This window comes from Homo sapiens, chromosome X (assembly GCF_000001405.40).
Source record: "Homo sapiens chromosome X, GRCh38.p14 Primary Assembly".
Lineage (NCBI taxonomy): Eukaryota > Metazoa > Chordata > Mammalia > Primates > Hominidae > Homo > Homo sapiens.
This window is the reverse complement of record NC_000023.11, coordinates 39,648,601-39,667,930: the sequence shown is the minus strand read 5'-3', so window position 1 is coordinate 39,667,930 and position 19,330 is coordinate 39,648,601. Positions and strand designations below refer to the sequence as shown.

Here is a 19,330-nt window from a genome sequence, read left to right as displayed (position 1 = left end):
AAAATTATTCGTGTGAGACTGGCAGAGGATCCCAGGGAGATACATACATTCAGCATTAGCCATGTCTCTTACTCTTCCTGGTGATGCTTGAGGCCTGCTAGTTTGAGCAGCATGATCCACCATTGTGGCCTCTACATTCTGATCTTCGATTCCCACTGTTGCCACCACTAACTGTAGCTATATTAAGACACTTCTGTACCCCCTGTTAAGTGTCAGGAGTCCAGTGATATTCAGCACTCCCCCCATATTGCGATTGTGTTTGGGATAGGTTTGGACTTCCAGCCTGTATTAATCTTGCCTGCTGCAAAAAATAAACCCTCAAATTTCAGGGTCTTAACACAACCAAATTTTATTTCTATTTTATAGAAAAGTCTGATGCAGATCTTTCTGGGTGGTATATGGCTGTCTTCTATGTGGTGATTCAGGAACTCAGAGTTCTCTCTTGTGGCTCTGCTATCAGCTAGCGACAGTAGTTCTCAAACTTTAGTGAGCAACGGAATCCCCTGGAGGGCTTGTTAAAACAGATTGGGCCCCACCCCCAGAATGTTTGATTTAGTAAGTCTGGAGTGGGATGTAAGAATGTGCATTTCTAATGAATTAACAGATGTTGCAGACACTGCTGGCCCAGGGACCACACTGAGAACCACTGCCTTAGGACTTGAGTGTCCACAGTTTCCAGTCTAAAAGAAAAGGAAAGAGAGAACAGAGATGAGGCAAGCAGGTGTACTTCTTAAATGCCTTAGTCTGGGAGTGATAAACATCATTTTCTCTCTCATTCAATAGATGAGAGAACTAGTCACATGGCTGGGAAATGTAGTCTCTGGTTGCACAACTGTGTATCAATGACAACTCTATATTATGCAAAGCGGGGGACACAAATTTTGGTGGAATAACTAGCTCTCTGTATTACCTTCCAGGTTAGGGCTGTTGTGAATGGATTGAGTTTTGTGGCCCAAAAGTCTCAAGTGGACACGGTCAAGGTTCAAGGCTCAAGGAGAGAATAATTTATTTTGTGCCAGGGACCTCCATGGCACAGCTATTTCCATATGACATAGTCTGATGGTGAGCTGCCAGACCCAGCCCAATCCTATGGGGTCCCACATTTCAGCTCCAAGCTTTGAAGGACACACTGCCCTTCACTTTAGAGGAAGGTCCACCTGATTTCAGGACATCACCCCAAACAATGGCTAGATCAAACCCATCAGTCAGACCTCAAAGATGCATCAGTGTTGGTGCCCACCCCCGCCCACCTAGATCACCAGAGCTGATGGGCCTCGTACCTTCCTGCTGCCATGTTCCGTAACAGTGATGCTGTTCCCAAAGTCTAGGACACATGCTTTCACTAACCCTCAGCCTCCCATTCTGCTCAAGACCCTTGCAGGATCTGGCTGAGCTCCAGGAGACTATACATCTCTTTCTAGATCCAGCACATTCCCGACCCACTGTTGGTAAGATAAAACATTTGAATTTTCTCATAGAAGTAATGGATCTCCACTGAGCCTCCCCTTTCACCCCTGCCCCAGCCTGTTTCCTTGTTGACAAATGGCATTCATCACTCAATTGGGTGGTCACCACTTAGAGTACAGTCTGGAGATGACCACTCATCATGGAAAGGTTGCCAATTTCCTGTGTCTGAGAGGGATTAACCACCCAGGAATGAAAGGAAGGCATGTTTTCAGTTATTGAGTGGGGAAAATATTAAAAACATATACAAATAGCAATGCCAGAAGAATAATAAGGACCACTTCTAACAGAAATCCAGAATGTAAAAGGGTTCTATTCAGGCTTAGAATTCATGGCACATAATGTCAGATAGTTCTTCATTATTTCATTGAGCACACAGTTATTCAACTCTACTGTGTATGCTGAGTCATAAGGCTCCCTGGAAAACTACAATTGATAGGTTTAAAGAGCCACTGAAACAAAGTGGAAGGGGAATTATTAACAATGATGATCTGGCTTGCTTCCAGATGACAAAATGATCCAACCGAAAGGTTAGTTGCAAATTCTGTCGTTTGGTCATGAAAATGACTCCAGTTAGAGCCCTGCTCCTGGCATCAGAAAGTCTGGCTTTTGATCTCAGCTCTGTTGCTCAGTGGTTGGGTGACCCTGGGAAGTTCAGCTTTCTTCACTGTCCCTTAGACTCCTCGTTTTGGAGATTTCTAAGGTCCCTTTCAGCTCTGACAGCCTCTGAATCAGGTATTTTCCAACTAGATACTTACATCTGAACTTGCCTTTCCTACTTATATCATCCTAGCAACAAACATGAGGATAAAGCCATGATCAACTTTACGGCTGAAAGAAGGCACATTTATTGGGTATAGAGGTTTTGTTAAGGCAATTCAAGTTAACACGACTGCTCCTTAAATTACCAAAAACATATAAAAAGGGGAATTTTGTTAATGTTAAGAAAATGAAATAAGTGGTGACCAGTGAGATAAAGGAACTCATAATTGAAGGAATACCCTCTTAGTCATTGTGGATGATGTCAAAGTGGCATACTTATGTAGTTAAAAGAAAAGAACTCAAAAGTGGATTAAATAATACTTGAAGAACCTATTTCTTGAAGGGTACTTTATAGACATTATCTTCTAATTCTAACCTCAACCCTTTTGTGATGGTTAATTTTTGGTGTCAACCTAACTACTTTCAGAGATACTTACAAAGCTGGTAAGGCACTATTTTTGAGTGTTTCTATGAGGGTGTTTCTGGAGGAGATGGGCATGTGAACGATGAACTGAGTGGGAAAGATCTGTCCTCAACATGGACAGGCACCATCCAATCAGCTGGGGACCCAGATGGAATAAAAAGGCAGAGGAAAGGTGAATTTGCCCCATCTCTCTCCTGGAATTGGAAACACCCTTCTTCTTCTACCCTTGGACATAAGAACTCCAGGCTCTCTGACCTTTGGACCCCAGGACTTGCACCAGTGGCCTCCCCTATTCAGGCCTTAGGCCTTGGACTGAGAGTTATACCATCAGCTTCCCTAGTTCTCAGGCCTTTGGACTTGGACTGAGCCATGTTACTAGCCTCCCTTGTTCTCCAGCTTGCAGATGGCCTATCATGCGATTTTGCTTCCTCCATAATTGTGTGAGCCAATTCCCCTAATAAATATCTTCTTATCTATCTATCTATCTATCTATCTATCTATCTATCTATCTATCTACGTATCTATCTGTCTGTCTATCTATCTATGTATCCTTTTGGTTCTGTCTTTCTGCAGAACCCTGACTAATATACAGTTAAAATAGGTATCATCATCCTCAGTTTACAGATGGGGAAATTGAGGCTCAGATAGAACTAATTGCCCAAGGACACCCAGCTGGGAAGCAAAACAGAGCCATGTCTTCCTGAATCCAAAGCCCATATATGTTTTTCTCATACTCAGAATTACCTCTCTGGTTAATGACTTAATAGTACTACTGAAATATAAAGGCAAGAGTATTTTTAGGTAGAGACCAACAGAAGAGATACTAAGACAGAGTTCTAATTATGAAGGAACAATTCCATTCAGCAGGCCAAACATTCTGCCAGGAGTTTTACTATCGCATATAGTGAAACTTAGGGCAGTGGCTAGCCCTTATGATTGCAATGTTTAAAAATATGTGCACAAATGTAAACCAGTACATTTATCTGTCAGAGATACTTAAGTAAAGAATATCAGTATCACGGCCAGAAATCTCAGAAACTGGTGGATTTCATATTTGCTTATATAAATACATTTTTGCTTCTAGTTCTGGAAATACTGTGATCAAGATAACCTGAAAACCCATTTTCCTCAGTTATCTAGAAATAAACGAATATTTATTTGAATGAATAGATGAGCACACAGGAAATTGACGGGCTGTGAATGAAAAAGGTACTGAAAACTAGGGCAGTGAGCTTGTGAATGATTATGTGACTGTTTTAGGGTGGGGACACATGGGGAGAGACAATGATTCTGTACTCTAGGTCCTTAGACCATTTAATGTCCACTTGAGGTCGTGGGAGGGGTGGGTGGGGGGGTGACAAAGAGTTGATGCTTTGGGTCCCTGTAAGGCAAAAAAGTTGGACATGTGATACATACATTCTGTAAAAGTGGAAACCTCTGTGTGAGGGTAGATTAGAAAAAAATCTGCCCATTGACCCAGAGGGGTTTGTCTGTCATGGTCTAGGCTCCAAGTGGGAAAAAAAAATGTCTCCTGAGAAATTTTTGAACTATATCTTATGAGGGTTTGGAATTAAATATATATTCCTTATGTGGTGCTGGAGCCCCAAGCTCAGAAATTTTATTTTATTTATTTATTTATTTTTGAGACAGAGTCTTGCTCTGTCGCCCAGGCTGGAGTGCAGTGGCACAATCTCGGCTCACTGCAACCTCTGCCTCCCAGGTTCAAGTAATTCTCTGCCTCAGCTTCCCGAGTAGCTGGGATTACAGGCACCCACCACCATGCCCAGCTAATTTTTGTATTTTTAGTAGAGACAGGGTTTCGCCATCTTGGCCAGGCTGGTCTTGAACTCCTGACCTCGTGATCCACCCGCCTTGGCCTCCCAAAGTGCTGGGATTACAGGTGTGAGCCACCGTGCCCAGCCATAAATTATTATAAAAATGATAGTGAAACCTCTGGACAGCTTGGCAAAAACAAAAACGAAACTTCACAGGAGACCCCATTAATCAGGCCTCACAAAATTCCTACACATAAAGCCGTGTTTATGATGAGCTCACAATTCAAAAATATAAAACAGTTGAAAAAAGATTTCACTATGAGCAAGAGACAGCAGGATTAGACACTCAAGAACTTCAGATAATGAAACAATCTATTAGAGACCATAAAATTTGCTTTTTTTTTTTTTTTTTTTTGAGGCAGGGGCTCACTGTCACCCAGGGTGGAGTGCAGTGGCTCAATCATGGCTCACTGCAGGCTCGACTCCCCCAGCTCAAGCAATCCTCCTGCCTCATTTTTAAAAATTTTTTTTGTAGAGATGGGGGTCTCCTTTTGTTGCCCAGGTTGGTCTTGAACTCCTGGGCTCAAGCAATCCACCCGCCTTGGCTTCCCAGAGTGTTGGGATTATAGGTGTGAGCCACCATGCCTGGCCCATAATTAGCATGTTTAAGATGATTAAAAGCTTATGTTTTTAAACAATGAAAACATAAAGGAAAAAACAGACACTATGAAAAGGAACATGCATGTATATTTTTAAAAGAAACTAAATTGAACTTCTAGAAATAAAAAAATATAGTCACTGAGGTTGGGCATGGTGGCTCACACCTATATTCCTGGAGCGTTGGGAAGCTGAGATGGGAAGACTGCTTGAAGCCAGAAGTTTGAGACAAGTGTGGGCAACATAGCAAGACCCTGTCTCTACAATAAATAAATAAATAAATAAATAAATAAATAAATAAATAAATAAATTAGCTGAGTGTGGTAGTGTGAGTCTGTAGTCCTAGCTACTTAGAAAGCTGAGGCAAGAGGACAGCTTGAGCCCAGGAGCTTGAGGCTGCAATGAGATGTGATTGCACCACTACACTTCAAGCTGGGCAGCAGAGCAAGACTCTGTCTCAAAACAAAACAAAACAAAAAAAAGAAATGTCAAAAAACAAAACACACACACACACACACACACACACACACACACACACACACACACACAGAGTCATTGAAATAAAAAATCTCAGTATATAAGTTAAACAGAAATTATTGAACCAGAGAGTGATGTCAAAGAATTACCCAGAATGCAGCACAGAGAAACAAAGAAAAGGGAGGTGAAAGGATATGGAGAATAGAATAAAAAATTCTCATATATAACTAATTGGAGCTCCAGAGGGAAAGCATAAAGACAATGTGGGAGAAGAAATGTTCAATGACATAATAGCTAGGAATTTTTCAGAATTTATGATACATAGATTCAGAATCCTCAGCAGGATAGATTTCATAACTTAGTATGCATATTGCTCTATAAAAAGGTAAAAGTGAGCTGGGAGTGGGGGCTTATGCCTGTAATCCCAGCACTTTGGGAGACTGAGGCAGGAGGATTGCTTGAGCTCAGGAGTTCAAGATCAGCTTGGGCAACATAGGGAGACCTTGTCTCTACAAACAACAAAACAAAACAAAACAACAAAAAACTAGTCTGGCGTGGTGGCCTGTGCCTGTGGTCCCAGCTACTCAGGAGGCTGAGGTGGGAGGATTGCTTGAGCTCAGGAGTTTGAGGTTGCAGTAAGGTATAATCTTGCCACTGCACTCCAACCTGGGTGACAGAGTGACACCCTGTTGCTAAAAGATAAGTAAATAAACAAAAAGGTAACAGACACCATTCTACCAAGTACATTCATATCAATCCAGAGCAAAATTCTAGGGACATCAACACAGTAGCAGTGTGGGTAGAAACGAGAAGGATGCTAGAACATGCTATATAGTACTTTTCTTGTTCTAAGGCAAATGTATCTATTTCAGTTGTTATGTCCATATAAAAATTACTCTAAAATTTAGTGGCTTAAAATAACCACAATCATTTTATTATCTCTCATGATTTCTGTGGGTCAGGAATTCTGGAAGGGCTTAACTGAGTGGTTCTGGCTTGGAGTCTCTCATGTGGTTACAATTAGACTGTGGCTGAAGCAATGTGGGAGAAGCACATTGAGATGCCCATCCAGCCCCCCATTGCTACAGCCGCCTGTTGTTGTCGAGCTGAAACAACAGGGAACTGTAGCAACTGAGGGCTGGTTGGGCATTCTTCTCTCTTCACACGGTCTCAGGGCCTCTCTAATTGGCCTCTCTACGTGGGCTATTTGGGCTATTTATAGCATGGCAGCCTCAGGATAGTTGGACTTTAAAAATGGTGGTTCAGGGCTCCAGCACCAATGATCCAACAAGCAAGGTAGAAGTTGTGTCGCCTTTTTGGACCTAGCCTTGGAAGTCATTGAGTGTCACTTACAATGCATTCAAGTTACACTCAAATCACAAGTCTGCCCAGAGTTAAGGCAGAGGATATAGACCCTCCACCCCTAACTCTGTCTGGATGGGAGGAGTGTCAATATGCCATTGTAGAATACGATTGTGGGACATAGAATAGTATTGACACGGGGGATATTGCTGGGACCATCTTTGGAAAATACGAGCTGCCACAGTATAGGTATTGATAAGTTTAACAAATTGATTGACGGTATAGGTAATCACCAGAAGAATAAACTTAGAATTTGTAGCTTATAAACTAGCAGAGAGACATTTGATATTGTCAATAGTCTGAAAAAAAGAAAACAAAAAGAAATTACAGTTAGTAGAAAATGGGAAATAAGATGGCAAAATGAATTCCTAATGGTAGTTACAACAAATATAAGTGAGCCAAACTCACCTATCAGGACCCAGACTGCTATTGTCTACTTTCAGCTATTTTATATTATTATTATTTTTTGCTCTGTTGGGCAGGCTGGAGTGCAATGGTGCAATCACGGCTCACTGTACCCTCAAAGCCTCACTGTACTTCCCAGGCTCAAGTTATCCTCCCACCTCAGCTTCCCAAGTAGCTGTGTCTACAGGCACACACCACCACATCTGGCTAATATTTTTTTGTAGAGATGGGGTCTCGCTACATTGTCTATACTGATCTCAAACTCCTGGGCTCAAGGAATCCTCCTACCTAGGCCTCTCAAAATTGCTGGGATTACAGGCATGAACCACCATGTCCTTGATCTATTTTGTATTCTTAAAACTAAGGAATACAGAATAGCTGAAATTAAATGAATGGAAAAAGATATATCAGGAAATATAAATTAAATAAAGCTGGGGCAGCAATTTTAATATCAGACAAAACAGCATTAAAAACTACAGATATCATAAAGGACAAAGGGGAATCATACATACGGAGAAAAGGAATAATAGTTCTAGAATATATAACAATTATGAAAGCACATTTATTCATGTAGATATATTTGAGACAGAGACTCACTCTGTCACCCAGGTTGGAGTGCGGTGGCGCCATCTCAGCTCACTGCAACCTATGCCTCCTGGGCTCAAGCCATTCTCCCACCTCAGCCTCCTGAGGAGCTGGGACTACAGGTGTGCACCACCACACCCAGCTAATTTCTTTTTGTTGTATTTTTTGTAGAGATGGGGTTTTGCCATGTTGTCCAGGCTGGTCTCCAACTTTTGAGCTCAAGGGATTTGCCTGCCTCAGCCTCCAAAGCGCTGGGATTACAGGCGTGAGCCACTGCACCCGGCCAGTAAAATATATTGAATGCCTATAATATTCTAGGCATTGCTCTAGGTTTGAAGGAGATAGCAGAGACCAAAACAGACAGAAATACTTATCTTCATTAGAATTTACATTCTATACAATTATCAACACAACCTCAAGTATTTAAAACAACAATGGACAGAACTAGAGAATAAAATAGATAAACCAGGAAGTGTAGGTGGAGATGTTAAGATTCCTGCCTCTGAAACTGATGAATAAAGGAGACAAAAAATAAAGCTATTGAAGATTTGCACCACACAATTAATAAACTTTAACTAGCGGATATGAATAGAATCTGACATTCAACCAACAGATTACATATTCTTTTTGAATGCACATGGCACTTTTACAAAATTAGAGAAAGGAACTTACCAAAAAGGCAATCTAAATACATTCCAAAGACTCAATGTCATTCAGGGCTGGGACCCTTTTTCCCCCCCGAGATGGAGTTGCGCTCTTGTTGCCCAGGCTGGAGTGCAATGGCGTGATCTCGGCTCACCACAACCTCTGCCTCCCGGGTTCAAGTGATTCTCCTGCTTCACCCTTCCCAAGTAGCTGGGAATACAGGCATGTGCCATCACGCCCAGCTAATTTTGTATGTTTAGTAGAGACGGGGTTTCTCCATGATGGTCAGGCTGGTCTCGAACTCCCAACTTTAGGTGATCCGCCCGCCTCGGCCTCCCAAAGTGCTGGGCTTACAGGCGTGAGCCACCGCGCGCCCGGCCTGCTGGGACTCATTTTTTATTTCAGCCTGGGGACACTTCTCTATAAGAACTTTTCAAAGGCAGAGCAGAAGGTTGAATTATTCTGTTCTCTGCAATAATCTACTTACCACAAGCAAAAGCAAAACCCAAACAGCAATAACCATGGCCTACAGCAAAGAACAAGGCTGTCCCTATTTTTTTTTTTAATGAAACTATCTTCTGTTGGCAGGGTCTGCCCCTGGTTCTCTTCAGCTCTGTTCTTGCCTTTGTTCTGAGTTTCTCCCCGGGAGAAACAAAATGGCGCCCAGCCAGGAAGGAGAGAGGCTTTGCTCTCCTGAGCCCTGAGCAGGACTTCTACCCATAACTGGCTTTCAGAGTGGCTGTTTGGTATAGCAGGGTGATCATGGTGACAGTGAGAGTTTTCCTTGGCAGTGAGCTGAACTTACCCACTTGAGAACAAGGTCATCTGCTTTGTAAGCTGCCCTAGTTAGAGACCACCCCTCAACTGCCGGGTGTTAGGAGGAAATTCTGCCACTAGCTACTAAAGGCATCACCAGAACTTCACTAACAGAAATCAGAGACTTCTTAAACCAAAGCATCCTAACTTTTATTAGCAGGGAGGCTGTCTCCAGAAAGCCTTCTGGGTTTGACCCCTTCCTCAAAGTGTTGACATAAAAGTTCATCACTGTCATCAATGATTGTTCCACTTATGGCAAAATTTTAGACCTAAAATTCATCCCCCCAACCTCTTTTTTTTGTTGTTCTTTTTGAGACGGACTTTCCCTCTATCGCCAGGCTGGAGTGCAGTGGCACGATCTCGACTCAATGCAACCTCCACCTCCTGGGTTCAAGTGATTCTCATGCCTCAGCCTCCTGAGTAGCTGGGATTCCAGGCACGCGCCACCAGGCCCAGCTAAGTTTTTGTATTTTTAGTAGAGACAGGGTTTCACCATGTTGGCCAGGATGGTCTCCATCTCCTGACCTCATGATCCACCCGCCTTGGCCTCCCAAAGTGCTGGGATTACAGTAGTGAGCCAGCGCGCCCAACCACCTTGTAATTACCACTCAAGGGTTTAATTACAAATATTCTATCTCCACTCCCTAGATCCACTTTTGATAGATATTTTCAGGGCCAGGTCTGAGCATTTCTTTTTTCTTTCACCCGAATTTTTATTTTGGAAAAAAAAAATCACAAATAGATGCTCGTTTATGAAAACTTCAATTAGCAATGCCTCCTCCTCATGTTATTCTAAAACACACACACACACACACACACACACACACACACACACACACACACACAGCCCAACTCACTAAGCCAAAGCTGAGGCAGACAAGCATATTCAGAAATCTACAGGATGATTCTATGCTTATTCCAGGATAGTGGCCTTTCAGATGTAATTCTCAACTCTCACCCACATATTTAAAAAATAAATGAGTCTTTTGATTGGCATTTGGAGTATTGGAACCTGAACCTCAGCTTTATTTTGAAAGCCTGTTCCCATTTGTATTCACAGGCAAGCTTTGCTCTCTGGCTCCGTCCTTGCCTTTTGACATTTAGGTGTTACCTTAGGTAATAAGTGGCCCAGGTTTTAGTCTCTGAAGTGGAGGTGGGATACCTCAAACCTGCTTCTGCCTCCTCCTGGGTTACCACTCAAGGGTTTTCACAGGTATAGCTCTGTATTTAATGGCACGTAGTAGTTAATTTGCTTTCGCATTTAAAAACCCTATAAAAAACGGTCTGTTTCCACAAAAGCTTCTTGAGAGTGTTCTTGTAAGAATGGACATCAGCTAATGTACCCATTTTCTCAGCAGCTATCTACTTACTGTGACCCCCAGTCTCCATTCCAGACCTTTCTGGTGGATGTGGGTAACATTTTCAGGGCCATTTCTGCATAATTATCTCCTCTTTCAATTTTTATTTTGAAAAGTTTTAAACCTTCAGACAGTAGAAAAAATAATACAAGCATCCATATGCCCCATGCCTTGATTCATGAATTATTATTGTGCCATATTTACACATGTGGCTGTCTATCTTTTTCCTGAACCATTTGAAAGTAATGTACAGGCATCATGACACTTCACCTCTATATATTTCGCCTAAGAAGATGGACATTCTCCCACATAACCATAAGGCCATTTTTATATTCAAGGAATTTATACCGATAGAAAAATATCTAATGTATAGGCCATAGTCAAATTTTGTCAGTAGTTCCTATACTGTACTTTGTAGCACGTTCTTTTTCTGATCCACAGTCCAATCTAGGATCAATATTGCATTTAGTCGTCATGTCTCTTCAGCCTCTTTTAATCTGTTTCTCCAAGGAAGCTGCCTCCTTTTGATGGGAAATGGTATTTAGAAACCAAGGACTAGGTGGGCTCATTTTGAGCAATTTCTTTTAAGCTAGTCTATGAATTGGGTGTTGAGGGGACGATGGTAACTTACACTTTTGCCAGAATTGGTTCATACCTTTCTGCCCCATCTTCTACCGACTCAGGAGGGAGTCCTGGGTGTCCTGGGTGAGGGATGTGATAAATGAGTTTGGAGCCAGACAGACATGGGTCTGTCCACGCCTCTCCCCTACCATATGACCTCCAGAAACTTATATAAAGTCACTGCATCTGTTTTTTCGTCAATGAAATGGAAATCAATATACGAATTTCACTGTGTTGGGGTAAAGATTCTGTGAGTTAACATGGCAAAGTTCTCTGCATAATCATATTCCACATACATTTACTGAGCATGCCTTCTACTGTGTAATGTGCTAGAGATAGAATAGTGAACAAAACTGGGCATTATCCCAATTCTTACAAAGCTTACCATTCCTGGGGGAGCCCCATGCAATGGCTGTCTGGTTCAGGATATAATCATACTCCAGATGAAAAGGCAAACCCTATACATCTTATTAATTTTGATATCCTCCGTGCCTAGCACAGTGCCTGGGCACACAGTAGGAGTTTAATAAATGTTGGTTGGATTCTTTTGGAACTGACTTGAGGACAAGCCAACTACAGGGATTTCTTGGAAACTCAAACTTTATTTGGACCCTTAATAGCATTCAGAAACTGAGTGAGATCTGTAATGGATCTCTGTTGAGGAGTAGCCAGGCTTACAGGGATTGAAAAGATATGCACCAGAGATTTCCAAAGAAACCGTAAGTCAAGTCCCAAGTTTTATTAATCAGCTAACAGGCAAGTATTTTCTGAGGGAGCACTATGTTCAAGACACTGTAGAATTAGAAATGTAGGGAAGTGGAAGACTCAGTTTCCATTCTTAAAAGCTCAGGCTGACAAAGGAGAAAAGCACAGATACATATGGAAAGATAGGCGCAGGAAGGTGTGTTAAGTGCCCAATGGTGGTCTAGAAAAGAGAACTCTCTGTGGGAGAGGTGAGAGTGGGTGCTAATGGATTAAATTAAGTCTTGGGGGTATTGGTAGGCTTTAGATAGGTGGAGAAGGGAAGGATGGGGAGTGTAGATCATGAGAACCACCCAAGCAAAGCTGCGGAGCTGGGACTAGAATTGGGCCAATCAGGTTGGAAAAAACAAACATTGGGTTGTACTTCTTGTTTTGCTCAGAAAAGGGTACTTAGTCACTAAGATGAACCATGGGCAGTATGCTCTAGAATACTAAGTCCCTGGCCATTATTAAATCATCTAGCTAGAAGAAGGATGGAGAAAAATGTTCTCAATGGCAGTTTATAAAGAGATAATCAAACAAGAAGGTATGTTCAAGCAGAAGCAGCTCAGATTAAACCACATAATGTGTGGTGAAGATCAAAGATTTGAGTTATACAGCTTGGGTTCCAATGTTTTACCCGTGTGACCTTAGACAGGTTACTTAACCTTTCTGAGGCTCGGCTTCCTCCCTTGTAAAGTGTGAATAATCATGGTATCTACCGGAGAGGCAGGTGACATCATACATGAAACAGCACCTGGCTCACAGGACACCAAATACATTATGGGCAGAATTCCTCCCCACTAAGATGTTCCAGAGGCTCCAGTCCCTCTAATGATAGATGCCAGAGCTGAGGGACCTTCACAGCATCTCATCTATATGCTGTACCTGCCAGGAGGCCACTGAGCTCAGCATTACTAGGGTCAACCAGATCTAGAGCCTGGGCTTGGACTCTGGGGCTCGCCCCCTCCATCCATGGCTCCTCTCTGCCTGAGAGCAGATGGTAAGGAAAGCAGACAAAGCCAGACAGGAGAAGCAGCAACTTGCTCTTGAAAGGGCTGGCAGCCCCCCTCTCCCTTCCCAGCCTCACCCAGGGCCGGGAACGCGTGCTGGGAAGAGGATTAAATCAATGCCAATTCACATCTCTCCAGAAGCTGGCTCCCTGATCTGAACTAATAAGCAAATCATTAGTGAATTAGGGCTGGGGAGGGCTCCGCGCAGCGCTCCTTAACTCCAGCTGTAAGACAAGCCTAAAAGCCCCAACCCCTTTCCTTACCGACCTCAAAATGTTCACACCAAGGAGATTTTCTGTGTTAAAGCAACAATCAAGACCTCCCCCAGCCCCAACTCCGCCAAGCCCCAGGACCCTTGGGAACCAACACGGGCAGGCAACACCATTTTTTCTTCCTCCGAATGCTGGTTACCAGACCCTGTGCCCCAAATCCTCCCGTTGCTCCTAACAGGCCGCAAACCCCACGCTGTCTGCGGCACCTGGATCTAGAGGGCTCCGGAGCCCTGCAGGCCAAGATGTCACCCCCATCCCCCAGCCCTGGGCACAAACTTGGCCCCATTGCTTATTTTCTGGTGAAAGCCCATTATCTCTCATTTACATCTAAACTAGCTTTTCATACTATTTTAAAGGCTGCTCCTCCCCTTCTGTAATCTCCCTGCGAATGAATTAAAAGTTGATTCTTGAAACGCACAAATCTTGGGGGCAGTTTCTTTTTCCTTCTTATTTAAATCATATGCTGTTTTGGACTAACCCTTTTATTTCCTCCCAATTATGATTTCTGGTGTGTTTTCCAGAGCTTTACAACATGGCATCTGATTATACACAAAGCTTCAGAATAAAGCCCTGTTTTTCCCTTCATTAACGACACAAAGGATGGCTGTGTGATCCACACAGCACTTTGTGATTTAATGCAGCTTTACAGTCTAAATCGCACCCGGCTTGGGCAAAGCAGATTTGGGAGTGAATCAACGCATTTTCTTGCTGCCAGGAGCTCCCTTGCAGATTCCAGCAAATTCTTTCACCACACGGAATTAGCATTTGATTAAGCTCTGCAGACACGTTCAAACTTTTACCACTGAGCGCCGGCAGGGCTGCAGTAATCTCCCGAGAGGGGGAGGCACCAAGCGCAGCCACTGCTACCCCTTCCCCCCATCCGCAATGTGCACACTTTGCAAAAAAATTGTGGGAATAGTGGGCAATGGATGGCAGGTTGGAGGAGGGGGTACCAGAAAATGTGAGGGTGCCAGAGAGCAGCATGGGGGTGGAGGGTCGGAAGGGAAAGAACATCACGTACATACTTGGGTTATAACCACCCTTTCTGCCCCAAAGTTGCCCTAGACAGGCTCTTTCTGCCAGTGTGCTTACCATAAAGGCGCTTTGATGTTATAGTTCTCTGACCCAGGAGCAATGTGACCTTCAACCAAAACCTGGCCCGGCCTTACATCCAAGAGAGCGGGGAGGGTCTTTTCTGGTGCCCCTGCCCTGCCCTGTGGTCTTATCGGTGGGGTTCGGTGCCTCTTCCAGCTACCTCCACCCAGGAAAGCTCGTGATTCACTTCCAGGAGAGCTGCGAGTTATGCCTCCCAACAGCCTGGGTTTAAAATCTAGTCCATTTCCATTATGCAAATGTGAGAAGCGGAAGTTTATCAAACTGGGGCTTTGTACCTAGAAAGCGGGCGTGCCAGCATGGGGGGCTATAAAGGCTTTATTGCCACAACTTTGGGGTGATTGCTTTGCTCACAAATGCCAGGAGCACGACTGAATTATGCAGGTCTTCCCAAACAGGTGGCAATAAAAACTTTACAGCCTCCCACACCATCACATATTTTGTTTATGCCTCTTAGGTGTCTTATTTTGTTAGTTTTTTTTTGACCCTTCTGTTACTATGGAAACGGAAGTAGGTGGAGATGGTTCCAGGTATCTGTTAAGGCAAATGCGAGGCAAGTCAATTATCATAAAGGTGCTCTAATTTTATCCTCTGTTTGAGGAAATAACTGAGGTCCTGTGAGGAGGGGAACCAATTAGTTCTGGAACATCATAGGCATTCCAGAATCCCACAGCATCCCTGTAGGGAAGATAGGGAACATGGTGGAAATGTCCATTTTACAGATGGTGAAACAGAAGTATAAAAAACATCTTACTGGCAGTCAGTAAGTTTGCCCCATAGAAGAAAAGAAAAAGGGCAAAAGGATTCTCTTCTGGGTGCGTGTTTGTCCGTGGTCCTCCTAGAGCTTCATGACCCAAATTAGGAACTCATTTTGGGTAACCTGAGGTCAGGCTGTAGTGACATCTGCTGGCGAAGATGGAACTGGCTAAAGCAGGTTTTTCTGTTGCTGACAGCTGCCAGGCCGGGAGATGGTGGTCTGTCTACAAGCGTGAGCTTGTGGATGGCTTAGATGAGAAACAGGGTTGGACAGCCCCTTCCCTTCTGAGTGTGATAAGGAAAACAGGCTCAGACAGAGGGGTTCAGGAGTAAGGGCTCAGAGGGTCCAGACCTCCATGGTTCCGGATGTCTTCTCAATTCCAGAAGGTACAATTCAACAGTGGGCGAGAGGAAATGTCTGAGGTGGATCTCCTGGTTCCTGTGGCCAAGAAGAAGAGGTTTTGTGATTTAGCATCTTGCTCAGCTCCTTCCTTTGGGAGGGACTGGGATCCCATTCCTCATGAAAGAGGGAATGAGGAAGGCAGATAAGAGTGTTAGGAGGAATCTGAGCAATGCCCACAGAAGCTGTCAGCAACCACAAGGAAGAGGGGCCCTTGCAGAAGAGAACATCTCCCTCAGGGGGCTCCTGTGTAGATAATGGCATCCTCCCATCAGAACGAGGAAGTTGGTTGAAGAGGGTACTGGAAATGAGGAGGAAGACCTGGGCTTTGGAAGCTCCTTGTGAACTTGAATAAGTCCCAGAACGGCCCTGAGCCTTGGTTTCCCCGTTTAAGGAAGACCAAATGCAATATGGGTCCCTCAGGGAGTTGTCATGAATGAAAGTGTAACAAGCACCAACATTTGTAGAATTTTGGTTTCAACTAAAGGTTGCCATGGATTCTTGTCCTGCCAAATCCATTGCCCAGAGATCTTCTCTTTAGGCATGTCTCATCCCCACCTCCAAACCCTCAGGCTGGATAACTAACTGGGGGCAGGAGGCTCTGCCAAGCTGTTCTGAAGTCCTCTGCAACAGCACTATTTAAAGAGTGGTCTACAGACCAGGGCAGGTTCAAGAACAATTTGTCACCCATAAATGACGAGATAGCACCGAGACTGAGAATAAGCATTCTGAAACTTCTATAACAATATGACAGAGTAATTTTACATCTGTTGAATCCAAATACTAAAACTTTGGACTTTTTACTTTTCATTTTTTTCTCCAGTGATTTATTTTTGTTGTATTTTATCAAAGATTTGTCCATGACAGATTGGGAAAACAAAAAAATAAGAAACAACTAGTCCTTCATCACCAATAGTTTGAGAAGCGGTGCTCTGTGGGGTCTCATGGCTACCCTCCTACAGCATCCTGCTGGGAGATGGTAGGAGGATGTGCATAGCTTCTTTCTTTGTAAGTTAAATTATGAATTGTCAACAGCAAGGCTTGCTCCATGCAGGCGGCCGTGCTGGCCAGGGCTTGTGTAGGACATCCATTCAGCTGTTGGTGACGACTCAGGCCTCCCAGCTCTCTGAGCTTACTGGGCCACGTCTGCCTCCCTGGGAGGCCCCCTGGGACCTCTCTCCCCATCAATCTTCCCACTCTTTGAAAGCACGGAAAACGAGCCCTTTCCCAGTGCCCCCCCTTTTCTTTTCGTCCTAAGTGAACCCGAGCGCATGGCAGGAGCTATCAAACACGCAAATGAGATTTCATGATCTAGTTCATTAGGCTGTGAATCCCTGGGCCCACCATCCACAGAGACGCTGCTGCAGCTTGTTTTCTGTCTGAGTCTGTCTCAGGGGACACACTCTCTGCACTGTATCCATTAGTACTGTCCTCCCTTTCCAGGTGCTTCACCCTACCCTATCCTCTGGCTCACCCACCCTGCTGCCTTGTTCCCATTCTTGGTGCAGCCCTGCCGTTTCTCTGGGCTGAACAAAGTCTTAGGGATATTTTGGTCGGGGAGGTGATGAGGGATGGCAGGGTAAGTCTTATAACTATGTGTATTAGTCCATTCTCATGCTGCTATTAAAGACATAGCAGAGACTGGGTAATTTATAAAGGAAAGAGGTTTAACTGACTCACAGTTCAGCAAGGCTGGGGAGGCCTCAGGAAACTTACAATTAAGACAGAAGGGGAAGCAAACACATCCTTCTTCACATGGCAGCAGCAAGGAGAAATGCCGAGTGAAAGGGGGAAAAGCCTCTTATAAAACCATCAGATCTCATGAGAATCACTCACTGTCATGAGAACAGCATGAAGGTAACTGTCCCCATGATTCAATTACCTCCCACCAGGTCCCTCCCATGACATGTGGGGATTATGGGAACTTCAATTCAAGATGAGATTTGGGTGGGGACACCATAATCAAACCATATCACTTTGGGCCAATTATCTCTCTTAGCCTCTTCTTATCTGTACATTGTGTATAATGATATCCATGTAATGGAAGTTAAGTTGTTAGGAATCCTTCCTCTGATCATAGGAAGGGCTCAAAAAATAGTAGTTATTAATATCTGATAATTATTGTTTTATAATTTTTGATTTTGTGGTCTTGTGAAATTAAACCTACAGCTTCTGTTTTCTTGGCTGTAATATGGGGATTACAAGCATCTCCTTCATACGCTTGTTGTAAGGATTAAAGGGCATGATGCTATCCACATGAGAGTTCCCAGCATTTTCTCTCCCCCTCCCACTCAAAAGGTTGACCCCTTCAGGATTTTTCCATCCTGTCTTTCTGGATTTTCCCTTCTCTGGGAGGGACACATTCGTCTGTGCTCTCTCTGTCCCCACCCCAACCCAGTGACTCACTGTAGTAGGCTGGCATGAGGGCATTTTGTCCAGGCAAGAGGGGTGCGTTTTTTCCTTGCAGGTGATAACAGAGTGTGTGCTTGTGGATGACTGCACATGGAAGGAGGGCCCTGTCACTTTCCCCTACCCACAACATGACCCAAGCTAAGAAGGCCAACATCACTGCTTCTTCCTTGGGGCATCGTCAGGCATTGTAGGAAACACAGGCTGGGTCAGGAGACACCAGCAACCAGTTCATAAAAACACTCCATTGGACCACTTAGGTAATTCAGGCTTTGGTTTCTTCTATGTTTTTTAAAAAATTGACTTTACCTTCAAGATTGCCTAGAGCCAGCTTATTTTTCAAGTACACGGACAGTTGCTTTTCCCTTATGTTACTAATTTTATAAATTATGTTTTGTCTTTCTTTTTTTTTTTTCTGGCAGAACATTCTCTATAATCTTTTACCTTAGCCAGCCTGCCTGGGTAATTCAAACATTTTAAAATAATGAAATAAATATGATCCTGAGGAAGAGTAGCAATAAATCAAGCCATTATATTAATTATTGTCATGATTGGGGTTCTCTAGAGCTAAAAGGCAAGAGAGATGACACATATTTTAACACCTATTTAATGTCAAACTTTTTGCTTTTAAATCTGCTTGGCATTTTATTTGACTCTTTCTTCTACAAAGTTGCCCAAGCCACTGATAATTCTAGAAAACCCAATGGAGAACAATCTACCAGCTGCTTAATACTAGGCTCACAGTGGATACCAGCTGGTGTGTGCCCTGCCCCACGGTGTGCTAAGGGCTAGTGGCTTGTGGCAAATGGCTATTGGTTAGGCCTCACCCCAGTACCCCAGCATGCATTGCAGCTGCTGCCCTCTTTCGATAAAGCTTGGATGTTTACGGCCATACTGTGGATGCTCCAAGTACTAGGGCTGCAAAACAAATAACCTTTAAATGTAGTGGCCTAAAACAACAATCTATTAAATGCTCACAGATGCCGTGGGTCAGAAATCTGGACAGAGCACTGTGGAAACGGTTTGTCCCTGCTTCATGATGTCTGGAGTCTCAGTTGAAAGATTCAAAGACTGGGGGCTGGAATGATGATTAATACAAAGCTTGTATGCTCATGTGTCTGGCAGCTGAGGCTGGCTGTCTGCTGAGACCTTAGCTGGCTGTGGCCTCTCTGTGTAGTCTGGGCTTCCTCACAGCGTGGAGACTGGGTTCCAAGGATGAGTGTCTTCAGAGGGAGCCAGGTAGAAGCTGCATCCTTTTTATGACCTAGCCTTGGA

At 43.8% G+C, this 19,330-nt stretch overlaps 1 non-coding gene across 1 annotated transcript, besides 2 other annotated features; it reads right to left on the bottom strand.

The window, feature by feature from the left end:
- Window positions 1–6,609: 6,609 nt before the first annotated feature.
- MIR3937 (microRNA 3937) lies at window positions 6,610–6,715 on the bottom strand. The gene has a single exon (NR_037501.1). It is a non-coding gene; the product is annotated as a microRNA 3937 (primary transcript).
- Window positions 13,839–14,398: an enhancer, noted in NCBI's record as "OCT4-NANOG-H3K27ac-H3K4me1 hESC enhancer chrX:39512787-39513346 (GRCh37/hg19 assembly coordinates)". NCBI's record gives its function as "activates a minimal SCP1, AML or CMV promoter by ChIP-STARR-seq in naive H9 embryonic stem cells {active_cell/tissue: H9 hESC(naive)}" and the evidence as "EXISTENCE:reporter gene assay evidence [ECO:0000049][PMID:30033119]".
- Window positions 14,399–14,960: an enhancer, noted in NCBI's record as "H3K27ac-H3K4me1 hESC enhancer chrX:39512225-39512786 (GRCh37/hg19 assembly coordinates)". NCBI's record gives its function as "activates a minimal SCP1, AML or CMV promoter by ChIP-STARR-seq in naive H9 embryonic stem cells {active_cell/tissue: H9 hESC(naive)}" and the evidence as "EXISTENCE:reporter gene assay evidence [ECO:0000049][PMID:30033119]".